Source organism: Homo sapiens, chromosome 1 (genome assembly GCF_000001405.40).
Source record: "Homo sapiens chromosome 1, GRCh38.p14 Primary Assembly".
Classification (NCBI taxonomy): Eukaryota; Metazoa; Chordata; class Mammalia; order Primates; family Hominidae; genus Homo; species Homo sapiens.
The window spans coordinates 207,574,658-207,590,614 of NC_000001.11; the positions used below are offsets into that span (position 1 = coordinate 207,574,658).

At 40.3% G+C, this 15,957-nt stretch overlaps 1 protein-coding gene across 1 annotated transcript in view; it reads left to right on the plus strand.

Moving 5' to 3' along the window:
• The window catches only part of CR1 (complement C3b/C4b receptor 1 (Knops blood group)), a 145,609-nt gene that overhangs the window by 78,501 nt on the left and 51,151 nt on the right, over positions 1-15,957 (plus strand). The window contains exons 28-35 of the mRNA NM_000651.6: positions 938-1,023; positions 3,148-3,546; positions 5,583-5,759; positions 5,854-5,956; positions 7,261-7,346; positions 9,992-10,219; positions 12,729-12,908; positions 14,018-14,117. Coding sequence (NP_000642.3) covers positions 938-1,023; positions 3,148-3,546; positions 5,583-5,759; positions 5,854-5,956; positions 7,261-7,346; positions 9,992-10,219; positions 12,729-12,908; positions 14,018-14,117 — 1,359 coding nt within the window. The remainder of the gene's footprint in view (positions 1-937; positions 1,024-3,147; positions 3,547-5,582; positions 5,760-5,853; positions 5,957-7,260; positions 7,347-9,991; positions 10,220-12,728; positions 12,909-14,017; positions 14,118-15,957) is intronic.

Genomic DNA, 15,957 nt, shown 5'->3' on the forward strand with positions numbered 1-15,957 from the left:
ATGTGAGACAGCAAGAAAAGGTAGGCTAAACTTACATTACAGAAAAGATGAGTAGACTGACTATATAGAGTTTGACTCTAAAATTGAGAAAATAGGTTTAAATATCTGTTGTGTGCATATCCATGTGTGTAATATACATGCACATATATAAAATGAAATTCCTCATTAGAAAAAATAATAAGTTTAATTTCCAAATTATTAGAATAACTAAAACAGCTGAATCTATCTCTTCCATATAGCAAGTGAGAGGGAAAGAAAAGGAAAGACAAGGAATGCATTTGTCTCTTCCACCAGAAATAAGCCCCCTCATTTTTGGGTCAGGTCATTTTATTCATTGCTTTCTCCACATCCTCATCATTGGGCATCATGAAATCAATGAAAAAGGCAGTGAAAGAATGATGATGAAAGCAAATCAAATGTATCATTTATCTCAATACATTTGGTTTAATCCTCTTGTTGAAAAACAAAGTCTCTTAGACAAGATCAAAAGCAACAAATCTTGTATTTATAAAAAACATGTCTCAAGTAAAATGACATAGTATTATACACACACACACACACACACACACACACACAAATTAAGTGAAAATGCAAACAAAAAAAGGCAAAAATAATATTTAGAGAAAGATAGAATTTAAGAAAAAAATTGTCAAACTGGTCTACAAAATAATTGTTTTATTTTCGTGCCAGTTGCAGTCCACAGTGAAGCCAAGATATTAAGAAGCAATGTGGGCCAGGAGAAGTTAGAGCAGAAATATCTCTTTCAATAATGAAAGAATAAGAAAAAGAAATAGAAGAGCTGGAAACAATAGGTAAAGTTTAGGCTAGGCCTTAGACTTCTCCTGCATTGTAATCCTTCTGGTTTGCCACATATGCATGCTGTCAGGAAGTTGATGAGGTATGTACAGGACAATGATTTTCCATTTTTTGCCTTTAGGCACCGACTCATTGGTCACTCATCTGCTGAATGTATCCTCTCAGGCAATACTGCCCATTGGAGCACGAAGCCGCCAATTTGTCAACGTGAGTTGAAATCTCTTTCCCCATTCACCCCACCATTGAATCCTAGAGTTGTCCTCCTAGAATTACAAAGAATGGATCTCATCCCTCTTGGAAATGGTATCCTTCTGATATTTGAAGAATCTAGTCATATCCTTAAAATGGCTCACAGCATTCCAAACTTCCGCCTTCACCTAGAAATGCTTTTTTTTTTCTTATCTCAGTCTAATGTATTTTAAACTAGTCTTTAGCTCATTTAACCAGCCCCCAATGTCCTCTTCTGTTGGTTGAGCACCTCGCAGTTTGAAGAGCATTTTGTTTAGTGAAGTCAACAAATACAAAGTCAGTGAAAGAAACCCCATATCCTCTCTGCAAGCTCTTAGTATCACATCAGATATTCAAGCCATGCAGCTCTTTCTTCCTTCTTATTCTTTGTCTAAACAGGATCATGCCATCTTCCCTGTGAGTTGTTTGGAAGATGAGCTTTCTACATTTTGGGGAGCAAAGACGAATGAGCAATTGCAAGCTAACAGGGAATATAAAATGTGTATAATCCTGGGTTTAGTGATGGTGTGAGGAAATCAGCAATTTCAAACCCAGTTGGTGGCAGGATAAGTGGGAACAAACTTTGTAGAAGGCCAATAAACTGGCTGGGCACTGCCCTACAGTAGAGTAGGACACAGTATTCAGTTCTTCCAAGATCAGACGAGATTGGGCGCATTCAGGGTGGTATGGCTGTAAATCAGTATCCAGTTCTTTTTATTACTTCTGAATCTGTAAGTATCATGTTTATTATATGTAATATTGTATATTTGTGCTTTGTCTTTATTAGTTCTTCCAGAGCTTTTGTTCTTATTATTTAATAAAGATGTTATACTGAGCCACGTGTGGTGACTCAAACTTGTAATCCCAGCACTTTGGGAGGCCTAGGTGAGCAGATGGCTTTAGCCCAGGAGTTTGAGACCAGCCTGTACAACATGGTGAAATCATGTCTCTACAAAAAATACAAAAACTAAACAGGCACGGTGGCACATGCCTGTAGTCCCAACTACTCGGGAGACTGAGAGGTGGGAGGATTGCTTGAGCCAGAGAGGTCGAGGCTGCAATGAGCCATGATCGTGCCACTGCACTCCAGCCCGGGCAGCAGAGCCAGACCTTGTCTCAAAAAAAAATGCTATGCTGTATGCTTTATTATATTAATATCCAATACCATAAAGGCAAATGCCTTCTATATAGAGAGAACTAGATTAATAATGGTGAGATAACATAGTTAAATTCTCGTTTAGCAGGAGAAATAAAAACATAGACTATAGGCTAGGCACAGTGGCTCATGCCTGTACTCCCAGCACATTAGGAGGCTGAGGTGGGCAGATCACTTGAGGTCAGGAGTTCGAGACCAGCCTGGCCAACATGGTGAAACCCCATCTCTACTAAAAATACAAAAGTTAGCCGAGTTTGGTGGCGCATGCCTGTAATCCCAGCTACTCAGGAGGCTGAGGCAGGAAAATCGCTTGAACCTGGGAGGCGGGGGTTGCAGTGAGCTGAGATCACGCCACTGCACTCCAGTGTGGGGAACAGAGTGAGGATCTGTTAAAACAAACAAACAAACAAAAAAAAAACACATGGACTCTAATAATACATGGATACATTTAGTGAAATAAGGTTAACTGAGTAGAGCAGCACTCATAACATTTTAAAACTATAAGAACATGTCTGTACATTAGCAAATATTAGATGAGAATAATATTGTCAATATTTACTTCTGGTAATTTGAAATTAAAAAACAAAACTGTTAGCAAAATTTACAATAAAGTATAATTATTAGAAACCAGGCTGGGCACGGTGGCTCACGCTTATAATCCCAGCACTTTGAAAGGCCGAGGCAGGCGGATTGTTTGAGGCCAGGAGTTCAAGACTAGCCTGCCCAACATGGCCAAACCCCATCTCTACTAAAAATACAAAAATAAACCAGACATGGTGGTGCATGCCTGTGATCCCAGCTACTCGGGAGGTTGAGGTGGGAGGATTGCTTGACCTGGGAAGTAGAGGTTGCAGTTAGCCATGATTGTGCCACTGCACTCCAGCCTGGGTGACAGCAAGACTCTGTCCCAAGGTTTTGTTTTGGTTAACTTGCTGTCTCTTTTCCAGGAATTCCTTGTGGGCTACCCCCAACCATCGCCAATGGAGATTTCATTAGCACCAACAGAGAGAATTTTCACTATGGATCAGTGGTGACCTACCGCTGCAATCTTGGAAGCAGAGGGAGAAAGGTGTTTGAGCTTGTGGGTGAGCCCTCCATATACTGCACCAGCAATGACGATCAAGTGGGCATCTGGAGCGGCCCCGCCCCTCAGTGCATTATACCTAACAAATGCACGCCTCCAAATGTGGAAAATGGAATATTGGTATCTGACAACAGAAGCTTATTTTCCTTAAATGAAGTTGTGGAGTTTAGGTGTCAGCCTGGCTTTGTCATGAAAGGACCCCGCCGTGTGAAGTGCCAGGCCCTGAACAAATGGGAGCCAGAGTTACCAAGCTGCTCCAGGGGTGAGTCTGACTGATGCCTAGAAGGGCCCTGCCAGTGACATGTGTTGCTGTTGGATCAGGAGATGAGTATTTGTTAAGGGGGAGGTATGTATGGTGAGGAGGGTGGGAAAGTAAGTTTTGGGGGAAGAAGCATGAAATTAAGAATTGGGGGTGTGCATGCACCCATGCATATGTGTCTTCATTTGGAAAGCAAGACCTTAATTAGCCAAGAAAAAAGCTATTTTGGACTCACCTATTATTTGATTCTCAGGGCAAAGTACCAGCTGCAATCTCTCTCAAGTATATTGAAAAATTATATGGACTTTCTCTATGATCAGCTATGTGCTAAGCACTTTATATGCATTTTCTCATTCATTATTTACAACAACACTTTGAAATTGTGCTATTGTATTATCCATTTAATAGTGACATCAGCTTGATCTTTCAGAGGTTAAATAAATTAGCTAAGTCACATGTTCTAAGCGAGACACCCAGGATTTTAAAATGCAAGTGTATCAGACCCCAGAGTCTGAATGTTTTGGCTCTTGCCATACTTTCATCAGTATCCATTGCTGAAAGAAAGAGACTGGCTTACAAAGACAGAAATCATAGCCTCAGAATAGACAAAGACCTTAGAGTTTGTCTATAATGGTCTGCCTCCTACATTTTATTTTGATTTTATTTTATTTAAAAACTATTTATTAGAGTTGATGTCCCACTCTGTTGCCCAGGCTGAAGTACAGTGATACAATCATGGCTCACTGCAGCCTCAGATTCCTAGGCTCAAGCCATCCACGTCCTACATTTTATCCCTAGGAGTCTAAGTCAAGAGTGAAAGTAACTTGTTCAAAGTCAGTTAAATATTTCTAAATTCATGTTTAATGAGGTATAGATTAGGTTGATGTTAAAATGGGTTCTGATGCCCTAAGCATGAACGAACAGGACTATAAATAAAGGCAGATGTTGAGTCAAATACTCTCCAAATAATATGCCCTCTCGTGACAAAGGACTGTCTTATTTAATGGCTTGTGTTTTTGATGGCTCATCTTGTCTACTGATGCCACAATAGCTGGCTTAGCAGCTGTGTAGGAGGTGTTATGGTTGATACATAGGGACAGAGAAGGAGCTTACGATTCTTCTACCAACCCATGTTAGCCTTGTGCAACCACTGAGCTGGGAAGATGAACAGATAAAGGGATATAAAGACGGATGTACTGAGGCAGGAGATGGGCAGGGCTTGTGTTCTGGTCACAATCCTGCTGACCAAAACAGGCTCTGGCCCAGACAGGATGAAGTGAAAAAACAGCAGGAACCAGCAGATGGCGATGAAAGCAATTGCTAGCTGCCCTCATAGTCCCATCAGCACCATGACAGTTTACAAATGCCATGGCAACGACCTAGAAGTTACCGCCCCTTTCCTGGAAAGTTCTAAATAACTCGCCCCTCAATCTGCATTGATCCACTCCTTAATTTACATGTAACTGAAATGGGTTTACAGCAGTATAAACACAGTTGCCTGCCAGGAACCCTTATGTTGCTGACTCTGGGTGTGCTGCCTGTGAGTTAGCCCTGCTCTGCAAGAAGCAGTGCCTTTCACTAACAGATTGCTGTCTAGCACCACTGGCTCATCCTTGAATTCTGTCCTGGATGAGGCAAGAACCCTTCCAGAGTAAGCCCCAATTTAGGGGCATGCCTGTCCCGAAACAGTATGACTGTACTTTAGTCATTGGTGTGCAATCAGAGAAATTGGGGGAAATCTGTAAAACAGATTTGGTCTCAGGTGACAGTCTCATTACCTGAATAACAATGGTACAAATCGGGATTACCTTCCTAGGAAATATGTAGATGGAGAATCCACCAATACTGATAACTTCACATTGGATAGCCAGAGCTAGGAGAAAATACCTCATGCCCTGTAGATTTACAAGTGAATTTGGGGCCTTGTGCTAGGGAGAATTGGGTTCTATTTCTCTACCTCTGACTAGCTATGAGGTCTTCAGGAAGCATAGGAAATTCCCCCATAACTAACAAGTACTCTGGAACTGTCCTTTCCACAGTGTGTCAGCCGCCTCCAGAAATCCTGCATGGTGAGCATACCCCAAGCCATCAGGACAACTTTTCACCTGGGCAGGAAGTGTTCTACAGCTGTGAGCCTGGCTATGACCTCAGAGGGGCTGCGTCTCTGCACTGCACACCCCAGGGAGACTGGAGCCCTGAAGCCCCGAGATGTGCAGGTGCCTCAACTCTCTGGCTTCCAGATTTCTCTCTTTACCCCACACATGGAGGTCTTACTCCTATTTTTTCTTTTTTTTTTTTTTCTTCTTCTAGTGAAATCCTGTGATGACTTCTTGGGTCAACTCCCTCATGGCCGTGTGCTATTTCCACTTAATCTCCAGCTTGGGGCAAAGGTGTCCTTTGTCTGTGATGAAGGGTAAGTGTGACCCAGAATTCAGATCAGGGACTCAGCACTGCAGAGTGACTCTTGAGCTTAAGGATCAATCCAAAAAGAGGGCTGACCTAGGAGAAGAAGAATCCAGGGAGATTAACCTCTGGAAGTGTAGCTTTAAAATAAAGGTAGGGACTAAGTGGCACTACTATCAGGAGATAAAGAGATAAAGAAAAAATGGCGCATATAACTGAGTGTCAAGTACAAACAGAAATACAGTCACCAGTCCAGAAAAGGGGACCAACCTGGTGGAAAAGAAGTACTAGAGGAGACTAATATCTGAAACAATGATTGGAAAGTGTGGTATGAACCAGCTGGATCCATGAACAGAAGTTTAAAAAGCAAAAAGCTCAACTCATTTGATTTCTCACTTATAGAGGCTCAGAAGTAAAATCATTTTGGAAAACGTGCAGCTTCCAGTAAGGCACAAAGGAAAAACAATGGCCGAAATACAAAAGATCTTGAAAAAAAAAGTGTGTATATATATGTATACATACGTATACATATGGACACGTATATGTATACGTATACATGTACATGTGTATACATATGTGTATACATGGACACGTATATGTAGACGTATACATATGGACACGTATATGTAGACGTATACATATGGACACGTATATGTAGACGTATACATATGGACACGTATATGTATACGTATACATATGGACACGTATATGTATACGTATACATGTACATGTGTATATGTATACGTATACATGTCCATATGTATACGTATATGTATACATATGTATATATACATATGTATATACATATATATGGAACATATGTATATATACATATGTATATACATATATACATGGAACATTAGATGTATGAATAAATAATAATTTGCAGACATGAAGAGATAAATAAATATTCTAGGGGTTGTTAAGAAAAGTTTGATATATAAGAGAAAGTTGTATATAAGATAAAATAACATGCAAAGATTATTTCACAAAACTTTTAATCAAATAAATAGTGGAATTTGGAATAGGAACGAAAGAGTAAGTAGAAATATTCTAAATTCCAATTACATGTGATTGACAGCTCTGCCAGCTATTATTGCTTTGTCCTCACTGAAAGCTACACTTTTTCCAAAATGATTTGGCTTCTGAGCCCGTCAATGAGAAACTAAGTGAGTTGAGTGTTTTCACCTGTGCTTTAGCTTGAGCAGTAAAATGTTAATTAACTTAGGAATTCTCAGGGAGGAGGTTGAGATCTGTCACGAAGGGAAGAGAGAAATGGTGCATTCATCCAGCCACTACTGCTTTGTTCTTTAGGTTTCGCTTAAAGGGCAGTTCCGTTAGTCATTGTGTCTTGGTTGGAATGAGAAGCCTTTGGAATAACAGTGTTCCTGTGTGTGAACGTGAGTAGATGGAATACTTGTTCAGTCTGGATCTTTCTGTTTTTTTCTTAATATAGTTTGCCCCATGGGATTATCTATTGTTTGTCCCGCTGTTTGTGCCCGCTTTTGATAGAAATTGTTCTTTGTTGGAATAGATACAAGCAATGTTTTGGGGAAAAATAAACATGAGAATCATGTGTTTTGGGTACCATCCTATAAATATTTATGAGGAGAGTCTGTGCTATAAATAGAGAGAAATGCTTCATAGAAATAAATGTATGGCAAGATGCTAGGCTAAATTTTTCTCTTCTTTCCTGTCAAAAGTAATAGTCATACTTCAACTTTTCAGTTCTTCCCTCAATCATCCATTTAGTCATATACTCATTCTTTCAACAGAAAATTATTTGAGCACCTACTATGTGCCAAGCAATCTTCTGGGAACTGGGGATATACCTATAAACAAGACAGATAAGTCCATGTTTAAGTTTTTGTGCAAGGATAAAGACAAAAATCAAAGACATGAATAGAAATGTTCAAATGATACTAAGTGTTATTAAGAAAATGCTCTTAATTGAGTCAGTGCTGTCAATTGAGAATGTAGCTGAGGACCCAAAAGGCAAGTGTAGCCCAGCAAACCTCTGGGTGTAGCTGAGGGTTCAAAATGGGAGGCTGTTGCAGCAATCTAATCAGAGATGTTGGCCCAGGATAGCAATTGGGAAAGGTGATGATGAGAAGTGATCAAATTCTGGATATATTTTGAAGGTGCAGATGACAGGATTTGGTGATGGTTAGCTTAGATAGAGGGTGTGAAAGAAAGAGAAGAAACATAGCCAGTTTCCAGGTTTTTGGCCAGAGCAACCGCCAGGGTAGAATTTCCCTTAGCTGAAATGCAGGGGACTGCATGAAGTTTGGGAATGGGGGAAATCAAAAGTTAAGCTTGGGACATAACTTTAGTGTTCCTCTTAGATATCCAGATGGATATGTTGGAGAGTCCCAGGCTGCCCATAGATATGTAGAAGCCATCATTGTATCTGCTATGCTTGAAATCAGGACTGAAAGAGATCTTCACCTAGGGAGTGAGTGCTGCTAGAGAACAGATGCATGGACTGAGCCTGGATGTCCAGGATTAAGAGTTGCAAAGGTGAGAAGGAATCAGCAAAGGGGATTATGATGAAGCAGCCACTGCAGTAAGAGAAAACACAGGAGGGTGAGGTGCCCTGGAAGCCAAGTATGGAAATTATTTTAAGGGATTAGACTAATCAACTGTGTCAAATTCTATAGAGAGGTCAAATTAGGTGAGAACAGAAAATTGATCTTTGGGTTTAGCAACTTGGAGGTAACAAGTGGAAGTTTCAGTGGAGTGCTGGCAAACACTGATTGGAATGAATTCTAGGGAGAATGAATGGGAGGAACTGTAACAGATCATAGACAATATTTTAGAGGAGTTTTCATGTAAAGAGAGTAGAAATAGGACTATAGCTGAAGAGGGAAATGACAGCAAGAGGTTTGCTTTTGATTTTTAAGAGGGCAGAAAATAGTGTGTTAAAAACAGAAACACTACTATGTCCCATCTATCCATTTACTTCTTCACTAAATCAATCAGGGTATTGCTTCCCCTTCTGATCATAGCTATTAAAAATACATGTTTACAATAGAATTTTGCTCATATGAATACTTTGCCTTAAATCATTTCAATGTCTTGTATTGATTTATATGATGAAAATGATAATTTCATCTTACATTGTTGGAAGTCAGCTATTTGACAATCTTAACTTCCCTGGAATAGTTAAGAAGTATGAAAGAAAAGAAAAAGAAAATACCCTCATGAACCCAACATATACCTGAAATCGCTTACTAGAGTGTAAACATTGGTTAAGCTATTTTAACCTTTGATTAGTTTATCTATAATTCTTTTAAGCTGTAATATCCTCTTCCCAAATTCAAAGCAAATTAGAAAAGGGAAGGAGTGTCCCCAAATAGAGGCATTCCAAGGAATAAATGTGTTTCTTTAATGAAAAAAATAAATAAATAAACCCTTAAAAACCAATGAGTATCTCAAAAAACCGTAACATTCTTGAGCCTTTTGAAACACATACAGGAGTACATAGCATTTTTTTTTCATTGTGACAGCATTACTGCAATCTTTCATCTGTATTTTGAAAATCATAGCCTGGCATCATCAAGAAAAATTAAATCACTGATATACAAATAATAAATGTATAATATATTTTAGAAAGATGTCTCTAGGATGAAGACTCTTGATGTCAAAGATCATATTTATCCTGTGCTTTAAACAGTACTTGACATACAGCAGATATTCAAAAACATGCTTGTTGAATTAATGGATGATTCCCCTTTAATGTGACTGTGAAGATTTTTATTTACTTTAAAGGAATATACTCTTTATTATTCAGAAATATTAACTATCTGAAAAATTTAGGATGCTTAATTTGGGAAAGGCTTTTGTAATAAACATTGATTTAGTTGTCATTTCATTTAGCTCCATCTTAGCAGAGGCCTAATACATTTATTTTGCAGTTTCTACTTTCCTTAAGAAGAAAAGTACGCTTAATTGGCAACACAGTCACAGTATGACAACTGTAGAATCACCTTGGATTATACTTTAAAATTTTTTATGGAATTGAGAGCTCTTGTTTTCTTTCTAGATATCTTTTGTCCAAATCCTCCAGCTATCCTTAATGGGAGACACACAGGAACTCCCTCTGGAGATATTCCCTATGGAAAAGAAATATCTTACACATGTGACCCCCACCCAGACAGAGGGATGACCTTCAACCTCATTGGGGAGAGCACCATCCGCTGCACAAGTGACCCTCATGGGAATGGGGTTTGGAGCAGCCCTGCCCCTCGCTGTGAACTTTCTGTTCGTGCTGGTCAGTATCCACTTCCACATATCCTAAATGGGTTCAGAATATGTGGACCCAATCCCTCATGTTTCTGTAATAAGACTATGGTATTTGTTTGTGAGCTTAACTTTGTCATAAGTGTAAATGTCAAAATTACATACCATAGCTAAAACAGATGGGTTTCAGCAGCGCCAAGGTATGTTTGAATCTATAAGATGAAAACTCTTCTTGCTGGTGGAGTGGAAGAGGGTGGGAAAAAGGGACTGAGGGAGGGGTGGAGGGAAGGCAGTAAGGCACAGTTATGTAAATCAGGAAGAAAAATGTATTCACTGGAGACGACATGAAAACATCTGCCTCTGAACACTAACCAGTATCTGTATAATTGACAGTCTCCATAAGTTCATGAGGGGTACATGGGCATGCAAAGTTCAAAATTGGAAATGTGGATATTATTTAGCTAAGGTTTTAAACTAGTGTTCTGCTGCATGGGCTAAGTAACCAAAAAGACTCTCTTTGTCTTGACTTAAAGTTTGTCCACTTGTCATCTTGCCTCCAGGCTGTCTTAATCTTTGTACTTGAACTGTTCCACTCAGGGGGTAAGAAGCAAGGAAAGAGTAGCCCAAAGAAAAGAGTAGGAAAAGGAAGAGGCTATTTCTTCCTAAGGAGGGGAAGAAGTTGCCTGGTCCTTCAGGGCAAACATTAGGCCTTTTCCAGAGCAGAAACTGGAGTAGATTAGGGATGTGGCACCAGCCTTGGAATATTCCATTATCCACAGGGAAGCCCTGAGAGACAAGAGCCAGCCAAGGTGAAAAGACTAAACCTGATGAAAGGCATTTAACCTTTCTTTGACCTTTACTCTCCAACTGAGTGGTACCCATCAGAATGCAGTAAATTTTTTTAATGTAAATGCCTAGACCCCAGTGCAGGCTTAATGAACAGATGGAGGAAGCCTTCTCCAAAAAGGAGGTAATGGAGTTCAGACTCTATTTGAAAATATGCAGCACATGGCTGGGCACAGTAGCTCACACCTATAATCCCAGCACTTTGGAGGCCGAGGTGAGAGGATTGTTTGAGGCCAGGAGTTCAAGACCAACCTGGCCAACACAGCAAGCTCCTAACTCTACAAAAAATAAGACTGAAAAATTGTAAAAACTGTAAAACAAAAAAAGTAAAAATATGCAGCACACAATATACTCTCTCAGAAAGAAGACATAGCTTCTTACAGAAGGCTGATGGCTTAGTCTGTTTTGTTCTGGTTCTTTTTTTGTTTTGTTTTGTGTGTGTGTGTGTGTGTGTGCTTTTTTTGAGAGAGAGGGTCTTACTCTTTTGCCCAGGTGGAGTAGAGTGGTGCAATCATAGTTTACTGCAGCCTTGACCTCCCTGGCTCAAGCAAGCCTCCCATCTCAGCCTGCCAAGTAGGTGGGACCACAGGTGCATGCCACCACACCCAGCTAATTCTTGTATTTTATGTAGACCGGTTTTCATCATGTTGCCCAGGCTGGTCTTGAACTCCTGGGCTAAAGCAATCCACCTGCCTTGGCCTCCCAAAGTGCTGGGACTACAAGGCGTGAGCCACCATGCCCAGCCTATTTTGTTCTATCTTTAAATGCCTGGTTTAGCATCAGAAGAAAAACACTGTATTAGTTTCCTAGGGCTGCTGTAACAAATTACCACAAACTAGGTGGCTTAAAACAAAAGAAACTTATTATTTCACAGTTTTGTAGGCTGAAATTGAGATGTTGGCAGAGGTATTTTCCCATCTTCTAAGGCTCTGGAAAATAACCAATTCTTTACTTCTTCCATCTGCTGCTGGTTCCTGGGATTCCTTGGCATTCCTTGGTTTGTGGATGCATCATTCAAATCCCTGCCTCCATCATAGCCTTTTCCCCTGTGTCTCTATATGTCAAATCCCTCCACTTTTTCCCTGATAGGGACACCAGTCATTGGATTTAGGGCCCACTCTAAATAAAAGATGATCTAATCTCAAGAACCTAATCTTAATTCTATCTGAAAAACCATTATTCCAAATAAGTTTCTATTCTGAGGTTTTAGGTAGAGATATCTTTTGGGAGAACATCATTCAACTCACTACAAGGGGTACCTGCTATGAAAGGCCAGAGAGGCAGCTTATGATGGGCACCCTGAGAATGGAGTATGGAGAGAGATGATAAAATATGTCTTGCTACTCATGAGTGAATTAGCACAAACACATGAAGATTTGAGTGGTTAACTGAGGATATAGGCACTCCGATAGGAGGTCAGAATGTGAAACTACAAGCTGAAGTTCTTGCTTTGGTGAAATAAGGGAAGAAAGATCAGAAAGCTGAGTGGTCTTCCAAATAGTAAAAAAAATCCTGCTGAGTAGATGCATTGAAGAGCTTCATCCCAAGGTAACATCAAGGAGAAGAAAATCTTTTGCTATTCTTGTAAGTCTCTTTGTTTCTGTGATCCACCTATCAGCTTAATTGAAGAGAAAGAGGAGGTAGGGTGGAAGTCTCTCTGCTAACTTTGATATTCCTGTGGTTTTTCTCTCCAGGTCACTGTAAAACCCCAGAGCAGTTTCCATTTGCCAGTCCTACGATCCCAATTAATGACTTTGAGTTTCCAGTCGGGACATCTTTGAATTATGAATGCCGTCCTGGGTATTTTGGGAAAATGTTCTCTATCTCCTGCCTAGAAAACTTGGTCTGGTCAAGTGTTGAAGACAACTGTAGACGTGAGTAACCCCTCCCTGGGAACTACTTCATGTCTGTTAAAGCATAGGTGGGACCGGGCTTGGTGGCTCACGCCTGTAATCCCATCACTTTGGGAGGCCAAGGCTGGCAGATAGCTTGAACTCAGGAGTTCGCAACCAGCCTGGGCAACATGGCCAAACCCCACGTCTACAAACAACAACAACAAAAACAACGTAGGTGGGATTTGATTCAATTTGCTCAAATTTTGGAAGCAAGATGTCTATATTTGCCCAAGATATTTTGATAAAGGAAAGGATGGTCTTGTACATCACCCCTTCTTCTTGCTTGTAGTTCCTGAACCTTGACTAGATGCTCATTTCATGAGAATGGCTCTCACAAAAGAATTAGAGAGAAAATTTACATTCACTGTAGATCATCCTTGATGGCTGACACCATTAAATGAATGAAACAGGGGTACAAAAGAAATTTATGTGAGTTGCAGTGAACTGTGCTTGGCTAACTAAAAATAGGGGAGACATCCCAAATTTTGAGGCCTTTGATTTTGGCTGGCGGAATGAGAGTACAACACTTTAGCCATAAATGACTTGTTTTGTTTTTGTTTTGTTTCTGCTGTTGCTGTTGTGTTTTTTGTTTGTTTGTTTGTTTGTTTCTGAGATGGAGCCTTACTCTGTCACCCAGGCCGGAGTGTAGTGGCGCGATCTTGGCTGCAACCTCCTGGGTTCGAGCAAGTCTCCCTGCCTCAGCCTCTCGAGTAACTGGGATTACAGGCACCCACTCCCATGCCCAGCTAATTTTTGTATTTTTTAGTAGAGATGGGGTTTTGCCACGTTGGCCAGGCTGGTCTTGAACTCCTGACCTCAGGTGATCTGCCGGCCTCGGCCTCCCAAAGTGCTAGGATTACAGGCGAGAGCCCATACATAACCTTTATTAGGAGGTGCAAGATAGTCTTTTTCAAAGTTGTGTTCGTAGCTACATGATTCTGAAGTTGTCTGCCAAGTTTCCTCAAAGCAGTCAATTCCATGAAACAATTGGAACTGTATATGCTGTTTAGTATGCCACACTCCAGTCTGAACCTTACAAAGGTAAGTTGAACTCTATATTTAATCCCAAATTCTGCTTCTTCCCCTAGGAAAATCATGTGGACCTCCACCAGAACCCTTCAATGGAATGGTGCATATAAACACAGATACACAGTTTGGATCAACAGTTAATTATTCTTGTAATGAAGGGTGAGTTGAGAATACCATCTCTTGAATATGAGTTCCAGAACAGCAGAGCCAACTTCTGACCCAGTCTCAGATAGACAAACTAAACTATTGCTCCCTTTACTTTAAAAGCAAGCAATAGGACTTATAGATGGAGATGATACGTTGGACATAGCCATATGATCAAAGGAATACAAAAAAGAAGGTACAATATGTATTGTATTGTAAACCAGAGGAGGGCAACATGTTCCTGTCAAAGGTGGTACATGTGAAACCTGGTCAGGCATTCATTGGATGAAAAGGAGCAGCTTACAAATAAGGAAAAGGAAAAAAGGTAGTTGAACCATGTAAACCTCCTTAACTGAGATCAGTAGGTAATACAGTTGAGTTGGAGGACCCTGAAGCAGAGTTTGGGAGGGTAAACATTAATTGTAACAGCAGCTCTGGAAGAGTATGCATCAAAGTGCACACAGAGAGGAGACATTATGGGGTTCTTGCTCTTGACTTCTCCTTGGGACAAGTAGCCACACCAAAAGCCATTGCCTCAACTGAGAAGGGGCTTTTAAAAACTCTGGAGTGGACCTCCATCAAACTCCAGCAGACCTGCAGCAGAGGGGCCTGACTGTTAGAAGATAAACTAACAAACATAAAGGAATAGCATCAACATTAACAAAAAGGACGTCCACATGAAAACCCCATCCAAAGGTCACCAACATCAAAGACCAATGATAGATAAATCCACGAAGATGAGGAAAAACCAGCACAAAAAGGCTGAAAATTCCCGAAACCAGAATGCCTCTTCTCCTCCAAAGGATCACAACTCCTTGCCAGCAAGAGAACAAAACTGGGTGGAGAATGAGTGAGTTGGACAGATTGACAGAAGTAGGCTTCAGAAGGTGGGTAATAACAAACTCCTCTGAGCTAAAGGAGCATGTTCTAACCCAATGCAAGGAAGCGAAGAACCTTGAAAAACAGGTTAGAGGAATTACTAACTAGAATAACCAGTTTAGAAAAGAACATAAATGACCTGATGGAGCTGAAAAACACAGCACAAGAACTTCATGAAGCATACACAAGTATCAATAGCCGAATCGATCAAGTGAAACAAAGGATATCAGAGATTGAAGATCAACTTAATGAAATAAAGCATGAAGACAAAAAAAGAATGAAAAGGAATGAACAAAGCCTCCAAGAAATATGGGACTATGTGAAAAGACCAAACCTACGTTTGATTGGTGTACCTGAAAGTGACGGGGAGAATGGAACCAAGTTGGAAAACACTCTTCAAGATATTATCCAGGAGAACTGCCCCAACCTAGCAAGACAGTCCAGCATTCAAATTCAGGAAATACAGAGAACACCACAAAGATACTCCTTGAGAAGAGCAACCCCAAGACACGTAATTGTCAGATTCACCAAGGTTGAAATGAAGGAAAAAAATGTTAAGGGCAGCCAGAGAGAAAGGTCGGGTTACCTACAAAGGGAAGCCCATCAGACTAACAGTGAATCTCTCTGCAGAAACCCTACAAGCCAGAAGAGAGTGGGGGCCAATATTCAACATTCTTAAAGAAAAGAATTTTCAACCCAGAATTTCATATCTAGCCAAACTAAGCTTCATAAGTGAAGGAGAAATAAAATCCTTTACAGACAAGCAAATGCTGAGGGATTTTGTCACCACCAGACTTGCCTTACAAGGGCTCCTGAAGGAAGCACTAAACATGGAAAGGAATAACTGGTACCAGCCACTGCAAAAACATACCAAATTGTAAAGACCATCAACAATATGAAGAAACCACATCAACTAATGGGCAAAATAACAAATCAGCATCATAATGACAGGATCAAATTTACACATAACAATTCT